Raw genomic sequence first — 18,611 nt, 5'->3', positions numbered from 1 at the left:
GAGCCTGTTTCCCACCTGTCTCCTTCCAGTGGGGGATGCAGCTGGGACGGACCCCAGGCCTCCGCCTGAGCTTGGCTATGACGGCATCCTCTCTGGACCACGCAGAGTCTGAGGCCCTGCAGAAGAGGGCCCAGCACAGATCTGGCACTGAAGGGGTGAGAGCTGAGAAGCATCCATGTGGACGTGTCCCAGGGGTTCACCAGCTCATGACTCCAGCACCCGAGTGGGTGTGTCACGAGAGTTCACAGGCTCATGACTCCAGCATCTTTCAAATGTGATGATGGTGGCAGGAAATTGAGAGTAACGTAACCACGTGTCCAGTTGCTTTGAGATAAAAGCACTGCTTTAAGGAATGTAGACATTATTAAAAGAAAAAACAAACAAAACAAAAGAAAACACGGTCTAGCCGGTGTCCTGAGCATTGTTTAAACGGAAGAAGAAAGAGAAAGCAGGTAGGATGCGAGAGAATGTGCAGATGACTTTCCTTTCAGGCCGGGCAGGGCCGCCAGGGTAGGCTGCGTCTGGCTGCTGAGCCAGTGTTCTGCGCAGGACGGCAGCGAGTTGGCCAGGGGGCCCCAGCTGCCCTGGCTCCTGCACAACCAGCCTCTTCTCGGGAACTGCAGCTGGAGAAGCAACGGGGGCCCCTGCATGTCGCATCTTCAGGGGATTTTCTGTGCTGTCCGTTCCCTGGGTATTTCCCAAGCACTTCCTCGGTGGAAAACAGACATGGGGTCCGCAGCCCTCAGTGTAGGAGCTCTTGGACAAGGTCTCTGGGCAGCAGCAAGAGCCTGTCAAAGCAAGCCCATGCTCGGCTCACTGTGCAGGGCTGTCTGGGAGATGCTGGCCTGGCTTACATGCCCTCCACCAGAGGCCTCCCCGCCTGCTGCAGATCCCTCCCTGCCCCATGGCGACTTTCAGAAAAGGGGAGCGGTGAGGTAGCCTTGACTATGCTGAGATGGGCCCTTAACCCCCCAGTGAGTGACCTCTGCCGGCATGGGCGGCCTGGGGCACCCACAGCCCAGTGTGCCTTCCCCATGTGAGTCTGGGGTAGGAGAGGCTGATTGCAGGGACAGGAAGCAGCTGTGGCCCCTCTCCTTCCCTCCCTCTCTGCGTCTCCCACACCCATATGCGCTTAGGAGGAAGGCAGCCCCGTGGCTGATTTGGGAGGGCTGGTCCTGCATCCTTGTACAGCAGTGGTGAGCAACTCCCTGTGGGGCAGGGCTGTGGCTTTCCACAGTTCCCCGGGGGGCTGGTAGCAGGGGAAACCCAGTGCCTTCTTTATTTAGCTCTGTTTTTGGCTTGAGTTTCCATGGAAACCACGGGTAACTGAAAACACAGGCCCATGAAAGTTTCCGAGTGATTGTTATTTTAAAGAATATGGCTCCTCTTTCTTGCCCACATTCAGATAGCAGTTTCCATGGGAACAGAATTGAAACTGCCAGATGAGAGGGATCCCCATTTTGGCCATGTCCCTGGCTGTCTGTGGAGGGGAGGCTGTGGAGGAAGGGAGGGCAAGGGTGGGGCCGTGGTGGGGGAGCCCAGCACCCCTTGGCTCCTTCCTGGACATGGTTCTGCCACTTCGGGAGGAAGGGGCTCCAGGATGAGCCCCGATCATTGGTGATTCTCCTTCACTGTGGTGGCTTTCAGTCTTTGGGGAGGGTCCATGATGCCAGAAAAGGGCGAGAAAATTTTCAAAGAAGTTTTATCCCAAAGTGCACTGGGTGCTGGTCCCCAGACCCTCCCACAAGGACCTGCCAGGCCCACAGGGGCCCCAGACGTGCCCCCAGCCCAGAGGCCGTGTCCTCACAGGGAAAGCCAGGTGGGGGGAGCACAGTGTTCGCCAGGCCTGGAGGGGCCCCAGACGCGTGCCCAGCCCAGATGCCGTGTCCTCGCAGGGAAAGCCAGGTGTGGGGAGCACAGTGTTCCTCTGGGCACAGCCATCATCAACCCAGCTTGGAGGAGACGTCCTGAGGCCCTGGAGGTTAAGCTGCTCGTCGGGGTCTCAGTCTCACAGCTGCGAAGTGTCCCTCGGCCTCCGATCCTCAGTGCCGAGGGTCACTCAGTGCCGAGGGTCACTCAGTGCCGAGGATCCCTGTGCCTGTGCGATGCTGCAGGTGGGAGGTGCTGGGGCCCAGGATCTGGGAGAGAGGCTTCCTCATGGGCGCCTGAGACTTTTCCAGGCACTGGGGGTAGAGACATGAGAAGCAGCCTGGCGAGGACAGGGGTAGAGCCTCACACTTCCCAGAGCCCCACACCCACACACTCCTGGGTGTTTGTGCGTTTAGCTCACATGCCCTCCTTGCCCGAAACCCCCTGACCCCAGATATGCCCACCTGGTACCTGGGAATGTGACCTTATTTGGAATAAAGGTCTTTGTAGATGTAAGTAAGTTAAGGATCTTGAGGGACTATTCTCAGGATAGACCATATCTTAAGCCATAAAACAAAACTCAGTATATTTTATTTATATTTATTTATTTATTTATGATGGAGTCTCACTATGTCACCCAAGCTGGAGTGCAGTGGCACGGTCTTATCTCACTGCAACCTCTGCCTCACCAGCTCATGCAATTCTCCCGCCTCAGCCTCCCAAGTAGCTAGGATTACAGGTGCATGTCACCATGCCTGGCTTATGTTTTTTGTATTGTAGTAGATACAGGTTTCACCATGTTGCCCAGGGTGGTTTCTGCCTGCCTCAGCCTCCCAAAGTGTTGGGATTACAGGCGTGAGCCACTGCACCAGTCCTCAGTATATTTTAAAAGACTGCTTTCATGCAAAGTATCTTCTGACCACCATGGGATAGAATTAGAAATCAGCAAAAGAAGGAAATTTAGGAAATTCAAAAATATACACAAATTAAACAGCGTATTCCTCAATAACCGGGTGTCAAATGAGTCACAAAGGAATCAGAAAATGCTTTGAGATGAATGAAAATGAAAACAAAACATACAAAAACTTACTGGATGCAGCTAAAACAGAGCTTTGAGGGAAGTTTGTAGTTGCAAACACATACTAAAAAAGAAAAAAGATCTCGAATCAATAACCTAATCTTTACCTCAAGAAACTAAAAAAAGGAAAGCAAAATAAATCCAAAGCAGACCAGTTGGAGGAAATAATAATGATTAGCGTGAAAAGAAATAAAATATAGAGTATAAAAACAGTAGAGGAAATCAACAAAACCAAAATTGGTTATTCGAAAAGATCTACGACAATGACAAGCCTTTAGCTACATGGGCAAAACCTAAAGAAGGAGAAGGCTCAGATTAATAAAATCAGATGAAAGAGGTGACATGAAAACCAACCTCATACCATCCTGGCTAACACAGTGAAACCCTGTCTCTACTAAAAAATACAAAAAATTAGCCGGGCGTAGTGGCAGGCGCCTGTAGTCCCAGCTACTCAGGAGGCTGAGGCAGGAGAATGGCGTGAACCCAGGAGGTGGAGCTTGCGGTGAGCCGAGATTGTACCAATGCACTCCAGCACTTCCAGCCTGGGCGACAGAGCAAGACTCCGTCTCAAAAAAAAAAAAAAAAAAAAAAAAAAAGAAAAAAAAAAAAACCAACCTTATAGATATAAAAAGAATTATCCAGTAATCCCAGCACTTCGGGTGGCCGAGGCAGGTGGATCACCTGAAGTCAGGAGTTCGAGACCAGCTTGGCCAACAAGGTGAAACCCTGTCTTTACAAAAATACAAAAATTAAACAGACATGGTGCCATACACCTGTAATCCCAGCTACTTGGGAGGCTGAAGCAGGAGAATCACTTGAACCAGGAGGCAGAGGTTGCAGTGAGCTGAGATTGTCCCACTGTGCTCCAGCCTGGGAAATAGAGTGAGACTCTGTCTCAAAATAAAATAAAATTAAATTAAATAATAAAAAGGATTATCAGGGTATATTACGAACAACTGCATGTCACTACATTTCATAACTGGATGACATGGGAAAATTTCTAGAAAGACATAAACTATGAAAACTGATCCAAGAAGAAATAGAAAATTGGCATAGGTTTATAACAAGTAAAGAGAGAGATTAATTTTTAAAACTCAACGATACAGATGCGGGATAGAGAGCATGTACAAAGATCCCGCAGCACATGTCATACTCAATGGTACAGAAGTGTGATACAGAGCATGTATGAAGATCCTGCAGCATGTGTCATACTCAAGGGTAGAGATGCATGATAGAGAGCATGTATGAAGATCCCACAGCATGGTACAGATGCATGATAGAGAGCATGTATGAAGATCCTGCAGCTCGCGCCATAATGGTACAGAAGTGTGATAGGGAGCATGTATGAAGATCCTGCAGCACGCGTCATACTCGATGGTACCAATGCATGATTGAGAGCATGTATGAAGACCCCACAGCATGCGTCATAATGGTACAGATGTGTGATAGGGAGCATGTATGAAGATCCTGCAGCACGCATCATACTCGATGGTACCGATGCATGATTGAGAGCATGTATGAAGATCCCACAGCATGGTACAGATGCGTGAAAGAGAGCATGTATGAAGATCCTGCAGCACGTGTCTTACTCGATGGTACAGATGCGTGATTGACAGCACGTATGAAGATCTGGCCGCATGTGTCACACTCAATGGTACAGATGCGTGATAGCATGTATGAAGACCCCACAGCATGCGTCATAATGGTACAGATGTGTGATAGAGAGCATGTATGAAGATCCCACAGCAGGGTACTGATGCATGATTGAGAGCATGTATGGAGACCCCACAGCATGCGTCATAATGGTACAGATGTGTGATAGCATGTATGAAGATCTCAGAGCATGTGTCACACTCGAAGGTACAGATGCATGACAGAGAGCACGTATGAAGATCTCACAGCACACATCATAATGGTGCAGATACATGATAGAGAGGATGTATGACGATCCAGCCACATGCGTCACACTCGATGGCACAGATGCGTGATGGACAGCATATATGAAGATCCCAGAGCATGTTTCATACTCGGTGGTACAGATGTGTGATGGACAGCATATATGAAGATCCCATAGCATATGTCATACTCGATGGGGGAGACCGAGTATTGGGGGAGACCCCCAAGGTCTGGAGTGAGACATGGGTGGCACTGTGGATATGAAATGTCCAGAACAGGCCAATCCCTAGAGACAGAAAGCAGATTAGCAGTTGCAGCCTGGGGGCTGATGAAGGAAATGGGAAGTGACTGTTGCTGCGTGGGGGCTGAAGAAGGGAACGGGGAGTGACTGTCGCCTCGTGGGGGCTGAGGAAGGGAACGGGGAGTGACTGTTGCTGCGTGGGGGCTGAGGAAGGGAACGGGGAGTGACTGAGGAGGGTATCGGGTATCTTTGGGGGTGATGAAGATGTTCTAAAATTAGACAGTCGTGATGATTTTGCAACTCCATGATTACACTCAAAACCACTGAACTGTACACTTTTAAAAAGTGAATTTTATGGTATGTGAATTATGTCTCAATAAAGCTGTTAAAAGAAAAAAAAATTAAAAAAACAGGCCAGACGCTGATGCGAGAAATCAAGAAGGTGGTTACCTGGTGGGGTGGGGGTGGGGCAGGAGCGCGGGGTGGGGCAGGAGCGCGGGGTGGGTGGGGTGGGGCGTGAGCCTGGGTTTGCAGGGGTGGGGCGTGAGCCTGGGTTTGCAGGGGTGGGGAGCGAGCGTGGGGTGGGTGGGGAGGGAGCATGGGGTGGGCAGGGTGGGATATGAGCCTAGGTTTGCAGGGGTGGGGCAGGAGCGTGGGGTGTTGGGAGTGGGCAGGGGCGTGGGTTTTGTGGGGGTGCCTGGTTAGGTTCCATCTCTTGGTGTAGGTGCTGGTTACATGGATGATTTGGTTTGTGAAAATCCAATGATCTGCTCACTTATGATAAATGCACATTCTATTCCAGTAGAGAGTTTTAAAAGGAAATAAAAGTAAACGAGCATGGCCAGGCTCACGTGGCAGCATGGGGTGGGGGTCATGGCTGCAGAGGGACACTGTGCACCAGAAAGTGAGGTGAGAGCTGGATCGTTCCCCATCCGGGTGTGGCACTCGCAGTGAGCTTGCGTGTTGAGGGTGGGCTATGATGGTGGGGGAGGTACCTCCAGCCAGATTAACTTGTGCATTTCCCTCAAGGCTCGCTCAAGGTCGCCTCCTCCTTCCAGCTGCGTTCTGGGGCTCCCAGAGCAGCCCAGGTCCCTTCCTCAGCCCTAGGGTGCCTCAGGCTCACACACTGCATGTGCGCCCGGCCTCCTGCCTGCCCACTCCCACACCTGTGAGTTCCTCCATGGAGGGGCAGTGTCTTGCTCAGTGCTGCGTTCTCAGCACTTCGCAGGTGCACAGATGTTTGCTGATTGACTGCATGAACATGCTGCTGTGCATGATGGGTAATGAAGCCACAGCCCTCACACTCAGACCCTCCTCCCAGCCTTGAAGGACGGTGTCCATCCTGTGGGGCCAGTGGGCGGTGATCTTGGCCCCTGCCACCCTCTACGTTCTGTATGGAGCCCAGGCAACTCTCAGGAGGAAGACAAATGCCAGGTGTTGCTCTCTGTTTGCCCCTTTGCCCCTCTCCATGGGGCAGCCGGCCAGCCTACCTGGTCCTCGGCCAGCACAGGGCTTGTGTGCAGCCCCCAGAGGCAGGGCCGGGCCCTCTTTACCCCAGCCCGTCCTTTCCCCAGGCTCTGCATCCCGTCTCCTCTCAACCTTTCTGCCTCTGCACTTGCACTTGGCAGATGGGTTGAGATGTCTTCCAGGTCCTTCCCATGTGTGCCATGGGGGGGTGTCACTGGTCGTCTCCTTTCACTTAGCAAAGACAGGCACCTCTCTGCAGCCTCCCCACCATGGGGGATGGGGAACCCCACTAAGAATTCCATGCCCTGAGACTCAGAGAGTCGCCCGGGACACTCACAGATCATCCCACGCCCATTGTTCTTCCAGGTGCGGGTGGGGTTGAGAGGGGTGTCCAGGGGAAGCTCGTGGGGCCGGGGCCCTGTTTAGGCCAAGAGCTCCAGCACTGGCCTGGCTACTGGTTCAACCCTCCAGAGGCTGATCTTAGGAGGTTGACCTTGGACAAAAGACTTCACCTTCCCACGATTTTTTCATGCAGTGAGGCTGTGGCGAGGATTATTGTCAAACTCTGAGAACAGGGTCTGGCCTGTAGTAAAGGCTCCAGAAATATAAATGGAGGTGACTTCTCTCATCCTTCCTTTGGCCACCGGTCTCTGACAGACCAGCCTCGCACCAGGAGGGCAGTCGGGGTCACCAGCCTGTGGGGGCAGTGTGGGAAGTTCACTCTCTTCCAGGGATCAGTGCCTGGGTTCACCCATTCCCTACACAGACTAAATCCCAGACCTTTCATTGCTTTCAAACAGTGTTCCACGTTTTTGATATAAAAACCCTGAAGTGCTGAAAGCATGAGGCGGGTGGGGAGGGAGGTACGTGCCCCCAGCCCGCCGGCGCTGACATTTCCTCATTTCGGGTGCTCAGCTTGATCTGAACTTCAAGGATCTGGCTTCCTTCCCGCTTAATATTTAAATACATAAGCATCAGCTGGATTTTTCATAAGTAATGGAGCTTCTTTGATTTCTGCTTATAGGCTGGAGAAACGCAATTTCTGCTTATAGGTTGGCCCCCCCGGCCCCCGAGCCTCGGGAGGGCAGGTGATGCCCTGGTCCCCTTCTTAGGTGTGGCCTCATCCTTGTCCTCTGGCCTCCACTCTCTTGCCCCATACCCAGCCCCCTTGGGCAAGGCTTCTGCTGTCTTGTGACATTCATGGGTCCCCCATAGCCCACTGCCCCACACATTTTCCCCAGATGACCAGGGGCTGCCCCAAGCCCCAGGGGCCAACCCTGAGCCTGACTCCCTGCTGGGCCCTGGACACCCCGTCTGTCCGGACTTGAGGGTGGGAGGCTGGTGCCATCCTGGCTCTCCCTCCTCTGACTCTGATAGAGCTGAAGTCCTGCCTCATGGGCCACCTGCTTCCAGGGGTCCCACAGCCTCAGATTTCTTCTTCAATGTTCACAGCAGATCCTCTCCTGGAGCCCGGGCCTGCAGGCCCCACTTCCCTGGCCTGAGAGGGCTCCCGATGAATAAACACAGCTGCCCCCACCCATGCCATGCCGGGCGGCCGCCTGGGATTTCTGCTCAAGCCCAGCTCCCTGGGTGCTCGGGGTGGGGGCTGCTCCCAGTGAGTGACACCTCCTTGTCCTCGCACTCTCTCCCCTCCCTGTGCCCAACACCCACCTTAGGGCGGGGCAGGCCGGACAGCCAGTCCTTGTGGAAGTCTGCAAAGCAGCAAATACGCACTTTTCTCTTTCACATTTTCACTGATTTGTCAGGAAAAATGGCGTTTTGTTTTAGGAACGATGATCACCGGATGAGCTTTTCACTGAGCAGCCACGGGATCGAGCTCCGAGGGCCACGTCCTCTTCCTGCCTCCTGGTCAGAGCCTGGCACCCCCAAGGCGGCCATTGCTTCCCGTGATTGCTTTATTTTTCTTTTAACTTTTCAAAGTCTTCCTGGCTTTCTACCTGCTTATTCAATATTATTTTATAATCATGCTGTCATATCAAACAAAAACTTGCATGGATTTTGATTTGAATAGGGTGAACCTAGATGTAATTTTGGAATTAAGTTTTATGATTTTCTTTTCCTTAGAAACATAATGTATTATTTTCCAGTTGTTGCTGTAACAAATTACCACAAATAACACACATTATTTTGATGTTCAGGAGGGAGGAGGTTGGGGCAGGGTTGGTTTCTCGCGAGGCTCTCGGGGAGAGTCCACCTCCGGCCTTTCCAGCTCCTCTTGGCCACCTGCATCCTGGGCTTGGGGCCCCGCCCTCCATCCTCAAAGCCAGCACTGCCACCTCTTTGAATCTCTGTCATCTTGGCCTCGGTCACTGTGTTCTGACCCTGACCCTCTGGCCTCCCTCTCCCAGGGCCCCTTGCGATGACCCTGAGTCCCCCAGGTAAGTCTCAAGGTCCCTCTCACTTATCACACCTGTGAGCCCCTTTACCCAAGAGAGGCAGCCTGCACAGGGACCCTGAGTTGGATGACGCAGACACCGTCAGGGTTGACGTCATTCAGCTGACTCCACATGGCACATCCGTTATTATTTTTCTTTGTATGTCCCCATACAGTCTTGTAATTTTCTACAAATAACTCTTTCCATTGTATGGCAACAATCCTACCAGACAGGTAGGTTTTCTGCCTCTATAATGAAAGGTATTGGGATTTTTTTCCCCTCTACTGATTATTGCTACCATATAGAAAAACTATTGATTTATTTACATGATCATGTTTTCAACAACTTTGCACAGAAGTCTTTCATGAATTCTCATAAATTTTCCTCTTATTTTCTGGAATTTTCTTGGTATTCAGTAATTACATCAACAAACCATGATAGTTAGAGCCTCCATGACATAATTAGAGCATAGCATCTAGAGCCTCCCTGCCATAATTAGAGTCCAGCATCTAGAGCCTCCCTGCCATAATTAGAGTCCAGGATCTAGAGCTTCCATGCCATAATTAGAGTCCAGCATGTAGAGCCTCCCTGCCATAATTAGAGTCCAGCATCTAGAGCCTCCATGTCATAATTAGCGTCCAGCATCTAGAGCCTCCCTGCCATAATTAGAGTCCAGCATCTAGAGCCTCCCTGCCATAATTAGAGTCCAGCATGTAGAGCCTCCATGCCATAATTAGAGTCCAGCATCTAGAGCCTCCATGCCATAATCAGAGTCCAGCATCTAGAGCCTCCATGCCATAATTAGAGTCCAGCATCTAGAGCCTCCATGCCATAATTAGAGTCCAGCATCTAGAGCCTCCATGCCATAATTAGAGTCCAGCATCTAGAGCTTCCATGCCATAATTAGAGTCCAGCATCTAGAGCTTCCATGCCATAATTAATGTCCAGCATCCAGAGCCTCCATGCCATAATTAGAGTCCAGCATCTAGAGCCTCCATGCCATAATTAGAGTCCAGCATCTAGAGCCTCCATGCCATAATTAGAGTCCAGCATCTAGAGCCTCCCTGCCATAATTAGAGTCCAGCATCTAGAGCTTCCATGCCATAATTAGAGTCCACAATCTAGAGCCTCCATGCCGTAATTAAAGTCCAGCATCTCAACTGCTTTCTGCAATCCTAGAGCTTCTACAGAGTCCATGCACAACAGTGGAAGAGCAGTTCTGTTTGAGGTTTTAATTGCCACACTTTAAAATTTCCTTTAAAGAGTGTCTGCCATATGAATTGTGCCTGAATGGGTAGAGGTAGGTGGCAGGTGACAGTTATCTGAGGACTGGGGTTGGGGAGGGTCCGAGTCACCTCTCTGAGCTCCCACGAGTCCCTAGCTCCCTCCTGGTTTCCACCTTCATTGGGGGACTGGCATCTCTGAGTCGTGGAGGTGCAGGCACCCTGCTCTCTCGTGTTCTCAGAACTTTTCTCCCTGGACCCCTCTGTCTCTTGGCCTGTGTCCTGTGTCTGGCAGAGGCTGCCCATGGTCCAGGAAGACAGAGGGGCACCGTCTTCCTTCACAGAGGTATTTCCTTCAAAGTGGAGCCAGGCAGTGTGATTGTCATAACTGAGTCTCCAGGCTATGGAACATAAAATATTTATATCAGGGAAGACAGATTAATCCAACAATAAAAACAGTCTGGAGACTGCACCAGCTCTTCTATTTATGAGGGCTTCCTTTTGGGGAGCACCAGTGTGGGATCAGAGGTTCAGCTCTGCAGCCTCTTTGCAGGGAGCTGTCCTCGACCTTCCTCTGTGTCACCCTCAATGCGCTGCGGGTGGACAGCCCAGGCCATCCGACAGGTGTTCGGGGGACGAGCTGCTCTAGGTGGGCAGCCCCTCAGGACTGACAGCCTGGCCTGGGCCCCTCCAGAGGTCACCCCCAGCCACCTTTTCTGCTCCTCCTGCCTCACTGTGAACCCTCTGCTGGCATCTCGGTGGATGGGAGGCTGAGCCGGTGCTTCTTTGCCTCTATCCTAGAGAGCCAGGGCCAGGGAAAGCACCCATGGGCAGCTCGAATCCTACTGGGGAGCTTCTCGGGGAAGGAGACTTCACATCAGACTCACCACAGAAAGCAACTTGCAGAAAATGTCAGCGGCAACTTCTGTCCTCCCACACGGCTCCCTTCCTGGCTCCTTCTCTGGGTGTCTCCCTGACCGCTCATCTGCCCCTTCTTCTACCGTAAGTGGGCATGTTTGGATTTGGCCCCCACCCCATATGAACCACTCACCATCTCCTGTTTTCCCTCCACCATGGTCCCAACCCCCCATATGCCTGTAATTTCCTTAGAAACTGGGTATAGAAACAAGCTAGTTTCTTTTTTCTTTTTTTTTTTTTTTTTGAGATGGAGTCTTGCTCTGTTGCTGAGGCTGGAGTGCAGTGGCGAGATGTCGGCTCACTGCAAGCTCTGCCTCCCAGGTTCACGCCATTCTACTGCCTCAGCCTCCCAAGTAGCTGGGACCACAGGCACCTGCCACCACACATGGCTAATTTTTTTTGTATTTTTAGGAGAGACAGGGTTTCACCATGTTAGCCAAGAAGGTGTTGATCTCCTGACCTCATGATCCACCAGCCTCAGCTGCCCAAATTGCTGGGATTACAGGAGTGAGCCACTGCGCCCCACCAAAACAAGCTATTTTCTAAAGATGTGTTGGTTCTCTTAGCAAATCAAGCCCTGGGACTCCTGATCAAACAGCTGTGTGTGTCTGCATCTGAGCGTGTTTGTCTCTGCATTCCTGTCTGCTGTGGTCATCTTAGTACCTGTCATCCATGGTGTGTAATGAATCACTCCAACACATAGGTTTAACACTGAGGTAAAGCAGCAGGCAGGTTTTTTTTTTCTCACAATTATGTGGTCAGCAATTTGGGCTGGGCTCAGTTGGGTGGTTCTTCTGCTGGTCTCATCTGGGGTCACTTTCTGACTGCATTCATCTGGCGGCTTGACGGGCAGTTAGTGCTAGACATGGGCTATGTGGCCTTCCACTCCAGAGCTGTGGTCCACGGGAATCAAAGTGGATCTTTCAAACTCTTGAGATCTTGTCTTGTGTGTGCATGCCTGAGTGTGAGTGCATGTGTGTGTGTGTGCCTGGGTGTGAGTGCATGTATGTGCATGTGTGCATGTATGTGTGGGTGTGTGTGCATGTGTGTGTTTGTGTGTGCATGTGCATGTGTGTGCATGCCTGGGTGTGAGTGCATGCATGCATGTGTGCATTGTGTGCATGCATGGGTGTGAGTGCATGCGTGTGCACACGTGCCTGTGCATCTATCCCATCAGGCATGGGGAGAATCATGGAATTAGTTTGTCAAGAGCTCCAGCAGAGCCCCAGTCTCATGGCTGCTGTCCTGGTCGGCATGAGCATTGTGACCCCCTCCAAATGTCCCCAGGACAGGCTCTGCTGGAGTCTTGGCCCTGGTGAGGGGCCCTTCTCTCTGAGGACAGCATGGGTGGCCCCTGAGGCCCACTCACGGGAGTGGGAAAATGTGGGCTGGATGAGTTTTGCTCCAGTTCCAGGGCTTGGCACCTGGTTTACAGGCAAATCAATGAGCTATCCTGCTCCTTGGATGATCCTTTTCATCTTTTATTCCCAGATTTCCCAGGTGTCTGATGTGTGCTAGTTTCCAGGCTGAAGATGAATACGAGTGGGCCCCCTTAGTCTGAAAACTCAGTCACTGTTTTAAAAGGGACTTCAGAACCTTCAGACCTTCTGGGCCACACACGTGGGTCATGTGATCCTTTCCACCCACTCCACTTAAGAAGCCCCAAACCCTCTAAGCAGCAGGCTGTGTCGGTTCTCCTAAGGAGCTCCCAGCCACCCTGACGTCCTATTTGGCAGAACAGCCTGGCCCGGTGGATGGTATTGTCCTGCTTTCCAGAGGAGAAAGCAGAGGGTTTGGGGAGTCTGCTCTAAGTTACACGGCGCTGCTACAAGATTTAGGATTAGAACTCGGTGTCTGGAACAGCCGCTGACCTCAGAAGTTAGGTTCCAACGCAATTTCCACAAACTCCGTGTCTCTGAAACCCCACATGGGTAATGCTTCCATGGGGTTTTCAGCATCCAGCCAGAGTTGCTGATTGTGCTGAGTGGAAAAAAAGGGTCAAAAGAAATGCGTGTTATAACCGTGCTCCCACGTGTCATCCATCAATGGCTTAGATTTTTGGGGAACAGAGTGTGCTATCCATGCTGGTGCTGCTGCCGGTCGGGTAGCTGAGGCACTGGGTGTCCCTCGGGGGAGCAGCCCTTGTTTTCTCGTGGGGTCCACTGTGAGACCTGCTCTACGTGGGTCCTTCCTGTCAGTGCCTGCTGCCCTCAGTCACCCTGTCCTAGTCCCTCCCGACGGCCCCTTCCCTGCAAGCTTGCCAGCTCCTCCTCCCAATCTCATTGTCCACATCTTAGGGCAGTGATGCCAAAGTGATCTCCAGGGCTCAGGAACACACCAGTGAATTTCTGCCAGCTTCCTTAAACTGGCCCACATGGGTGCAGTCAGGGTGGGGGGCGTGGCTTTCTATGGAAGTTAAAGACTTTGCATTTTCATGCTGATGCAAACGTAAACACACACACACACCTGCACACATGCACCACACGCGTGTATGTACCCACCACATACATATGTGTGCACGCACTCCTAGCACATAGGAAATGCCTTGCAGGCGAGCTTGGTGCCTGCTGAGCTTGGTCTCTTCTCAAGACTGTGAGCCTTTGCCCATGACATGGCACACACCCGACGTGTCCAGGCGCTCGTCCAGGCAGGGCCCTGCCTCATGCTGCTGAAGGCGCTCCCAGGAGGAGGGTGCAGTGGTGCCAAGGGGGGAAGTGATGGGACTGAGTCCCAGGATGGTGATTTGGTGTCAGCAAAACCATAACATCTGCCACATTGAATTTATATTTTTAATTTGAATTTTGTTGCTGTTATAGTTTTGTGTTTAATTTATTAATGTGCTTTGTTGTTAAAGCCATATAAAAGCAAAAAGTAAGAGGAGTTTATGTCTAGTTGAATATTTGTACATATTGAAACAAGATTATAACAAAACAATTCTCAGTCCATGCTGGGGTTGAGAAGCTGTGTTTTCACGTTCTTCTATTATCTGTATTTTAAGGTGCCCTTCAAGGGACAAGGCCTTAAGCCACGGTTGGCAAATGCCCCAGGCCCGACCTCGCCCCTGGCTGTTCTGTAAATCGGGGTTTTCCTGGGATTCAGCCACGTCATCCCTTCAGTGTTTCCTGCACCTGCTTTCATGCTACAGTGGTGGGCGAGCTCCTGCAACCCAGGCTGTGGGGCCCACAAAACCTGAAATTGTATCTGGCTCTTAGAAAGGCATCTGTGGACCCCAACCTTAAACAACAGGTTTTCTAAAGCTGGCTGGACCTCAGAATCAACCAGGGAAATTCAACACAAAACAAACATACAAGACCAGGCCCCGGGCCCAGCTCTGGATGCCACTTTGGAATCAGCAGGTGACTGTAAGTGCCGAGTCCTCTGCATGCTCCCAGGTGATCCCAGGACTGTCACGACGGCCCCCATCCCTCAGAGGACCTGGAGGTGACACCCCAGCCTGTGGCAGGCCCAGGAGAGAGCGTCAGCCACTGCCCAGACCAAGGACGGGGCCACCCATACCCCCATAACTGCACCATGAGCACAGGCTGGAGGCCCACCTCTGACCCCACATCTGATGGTCTTTCTGCCTCTGGGATCATAAGCCCGTTTTAAGAGGCCAAGCTTCCCTCTGTGTGGTTTGTCTGAATTCCAGATTCATTGCTTTATTCCCCTAACACATTTATATAATCAGCCACTCCCCAAATCACAAGGAAATTTATTTAAAACATTTTCTCCAATTTAAATGGCAATTAAATTAGATCTTGTGGAGACAGCTGGGAATGAAGATAAATATTTTATTTGCTTTTTGTTACGTAAAAAAATGATGCATCCCAAGAATGCAAACAATGTTTATTTCACAGAGTGAGTAGGATTGTCTGTGGATAACAGGTGCATTTACTTACCTTGTGGCTGGAGACAAGGCAGTGGCCGGGCGCCTGGCATGGCCTGCTCTACAGAGTGGCCTCTCTGGACACTCTCATGCCTGCATTCAGATGGCCCAGGATGCAGGCAAGGCAGCTCTCTGGGGCCATCGTAGGCTGTTCCACTGACATCAATCAGCCTGAGAGCTGGAGGATGGTGACAGCGGCAGAAGGAGGCAGAGAAGAGGCCAGGGCAGTGGGATGGGAGCAAGGAGAGCTCAGAAGAGGCCCCCAGGAAGGATCGCTGAGGCTCAGGAAAGCCATGGCCTGGGATCTTCCTGTGGAAATTGGAGTCACCATCCAGATGAATGTGTTTGCTCCCAGAGCAGAATCCTATGTACTCCCTCAAATAAACATTTTTTGCATTCTTGGAATGCTTCGTTTTTCTATGTAAGAGCAGAATTACTTATTGTGGCCATCGAAGGAGAGGGCATTTCTGTGAGAAGTACCAATAACCGGATACTGGTGTGGTTATTCCGCACTTGATAAAAAGAGGTTCCCACAGAGGGCAGCTGCCGAAAGCCAGGCCGGGCTCGAGGTGAGTGAGAAGCGGGTGCACACAGATCAGGGGAGAGAGAATGCACCAGCCTCCAGCCAGGGGCTTCCTCGGAGCCGGGAGCTGTGATGAACCCACCAGGGGCCAAGCTTTTGCCCCAGGATGACCCACTGTGGGCTGCTAACAGGATGTACACTTGGCTCACGGGACATGTGACCTGTTGTGGGCAAGCAGCACATCAGGTTTCTTTGGATTAAGGCAAATGCTTTCACTTTGGAGCCGGGAACCTTCCCAACCTCCCACTCTGACAAAGGCCCCTCTGGGAAGAATCCCTGGAAGGGGTCCGGCAGCCCCAGCTGTGGGGTCTGATGAGCATCTTGTCCAAGTAGGAGAGATGGAAAGAGATATATCTATTTTAAATTTCAACTTCTATTTCAGATTCTGGGGGGACGTGTGCAGGTTTGTTACATTACTATATTGTGTGATGCTGAGGTTTGGGGTGCAGTGGATCCTATCACCCAGGTAGTGAGCACAGTACCCAAAAGGCAACTTTGCAGCCAGCCCTCTCTGCCCCTTTCAGATTCTCTAGTGTCTGCTGTTTCCTTCTTTATGTCCATGAGTACCCAGTGTTTAGCTCCTACTTGTAAGTGAGAACATCTGGTATTTGGATTTCTGTTCCTGAGTTAAATTGCTTAGGATGGAGGCCTCCAGCTGCAAAGGACATGCTTTTATTCTTGTTTTATGGCTGTGCAGTATTCCATGGTGTATTTGTACCACGTTTCCTTTATCCAGTCCACCGTGGATGGGCACTGAGGTGGCTTTCACGTCTTTGCAATTGGAAATAGAGCTTCCATGAACATACATGTGCAGGTGTCTTTTTGGTCGAAAGATTTATTTTCCTTTGGGCACATACCCAGTAATAGAATTGCTGGGATGAATGGCCATTTTACGTTCTTTGAGGAATCTCCAAACTGCCTTCCAAGGTGGCTGAACTAATTTTCATTCCCAAAAACAGTATATAAGCATTCCCTCGAAAAGAGGTATTTGTTTGCAAAGGAGTTTGCTTTTAAAGAAACAAGCAAGTGAGCTGTGCTCGTGGATGTGTCTCGTGAACTGTGTGGGGGTCTTCTTGGCATTTTCCTTGGAGCAAGAGAGCTGAGCCAAAGGACCTCCGCACAGGTGTCAGGCTCGGCTGGGAAGGCTGTGCTGTGTCCACCATCAGCATCTTTGAAAACGACGGATCCACATCACTGGCTGCAGAATGGACCTTCTGCCCGGTGAGCGCTGGGTGCGGCACCCCTCAGTGGCCTCTGACTGCCTCTTGGAGGACTTTGTAGAACACCTGGCCTGGGGCATGTGACGGAAGGACAGGTTTGTCCATAGCCCACTGTGTCCTTCAGGTGGCTCTGGGGAGCCTGGACTGGGGCGTGTGACAGAAGGACAGCTTTGTCCACAGCCCGCTCTGTGGAGGCTGGACCTGAGAATGAAGCCGGCATTGGCACCTGAGGTGACGGCTGTGTTCTTGTGAGGGGGTGACCGGGCACTTGGAGATGCTCTGCTGTCTTCCAGAATGAGCCTATATGCTTCCTGGAAGATGGACAGTCAAAATTAAGCTTATTAATCAGTTCTATATCAATTCTGAACATTAAGGGGGAAAATGAAACAGTCCAGCTTCAGCTCTATGAGAGAACTGCTTTAAAAATGTAGGACCAGAAGCTTCTGAGGACAGAATTCTAGAGGAGTGGGCTGCAGGCATGAGAACCTTCTCAGGAGCCACCGGTGCTGAATCGTGGCTGTGGAACCCACAGGGGGACCCGCAACAAAGGAGGAAAATGTTCTTGGTGACAAGAAGCCACAGAAGATGGCGGGTGGAGAAAGCCCATCAGGCCCTTCCCCAGCAGGGGCGGAAACGGTCCCCAGCGGAGAGGGCCTGGAAGGAGAGGGCGCCCCCGAGGACTCAGCAGGGAGGTGCAGCTTGATGGGATGGCAGGTGTGAGACAGGAGAAGTGGGAGCCCCACAGGAGCCCGAGATCACAGTGTCAGGCTGAGCAGCCACAGGCCCAAGCCACCCAGGCTGTCTGTGGGACTCAGGGAAGATGGGTCCTGAAGAAGGATGGCTGGAGCCCAGCCACAGACGGGACGTTGGAGGGCAGTGCGGGCCGCAACAGGGTGGGTGGAGCAGATGCTGCTTCTCCCAGTAGGAACACAGGAAATGCAATGGGAAACTTCAGGAAAAATGGACAAAGGACTTAGAAATTCATGGCTAAGGGACACCCTACAAGGTGACGTGGCTTTGAGTTCCAGGCTGGATGGAAGAAAAGAGAAGCCAGTGGGCTGGATGCCAGGACCACGTGCCTTCAGTGCTGCAGGGAGGGCCTGAGCCCAGACGTGTCTGTGGAGAGGAAAGCATTGTCCCCGGGCCCCTGGCTGTGCACAGATTAAGTGTTTACAGCGACAGGCACTATGGTCTCAAGGTCCAGTGTCAGAGGTCACACGACGGGGGCGTGTCAGGCACAGGCACGGGCACGCGGTGGCAGCTCCATACGCATTTGCTGAATGAAGACGATGCTGCTGTTTCGAGCGAAGGCGGGGCTGGCAGCGGCGGAGGGGAGAGGAGTGGGTAAGCGGAGGGCAGGCTGCCAGCACTTCCGCCCAGTGCAGCCAGAAGCCAAGAGATTCCACTTTCGACGCAATTAGAGAGAGGGAGGGAGGGAGGGAGGGAGAGAGACAAACTTCAGGATATTATTTAAAGATCCTGAGGCCGTCAGTGAAAGAATTAAGCTAAGGACTATCAACAATTGGGAAGAAAGGGGGAGGGCGGGCCCTAATGTGAGTGATCTACATTCTCCCTTTTCTTATGTAGAGAGAGACAACATCTCAGGTGGATGAAGAAATAGGAGGACTAAGTGCGTTGTTACAACTCAGGAAATAATCCTGAGAACCTGGCTCCGGGCAAGACCTGGGGGAAGCGGCTGCCTCTGTGCATGGGCGGCTGGAGCCAGGACCCACGGCCCCCTTCTCACCAGCTCTCTGCTGTTTTAGTTTACCTTTTCCATCAGACGGAAGTGCCGCTTCGATGACAAATCGGAAGAGGAACAGAAGCCCAAACC

The 18,611-nt window shown here is 51.7% G+C and overlaps 1 annotated feature.

Annotated features, from left to right (window-relative positions):
- Positions 1,342-1,441: an enhancer, noted in NCBI's record as "active region_4219". NCBI's record gives its function as "activates an Ori minimal core promoter by ATAC-STARR-seq in GM12878 lymphoblastoid cells {active_cell/tissue: GM12878}" and the evidence as "EXISTENCE:reporter gene assay evidence [ECO:0000049][PMID:35858748]".

The sequence above is a fragment of the Homo sapiens genome, chromosome 10 (assembly GCF_000001405.40).
Source record: "Homo sapiens chromosome 10, GRCh38.p14 Primary Assembly".
In the NCBI taxonomy this organism is placed as follows: domain Eukaryota; kingdom Metazoa; phylum Chordata; class Mammalia; order Primates; family Hominidae; genus Homo; species Homo sapiens.
The sequence above is the reverse complement of the archived record's forward strand: the minus strand, read 5'-3'. Positions and strand labels throughout refer to the sequence as shown.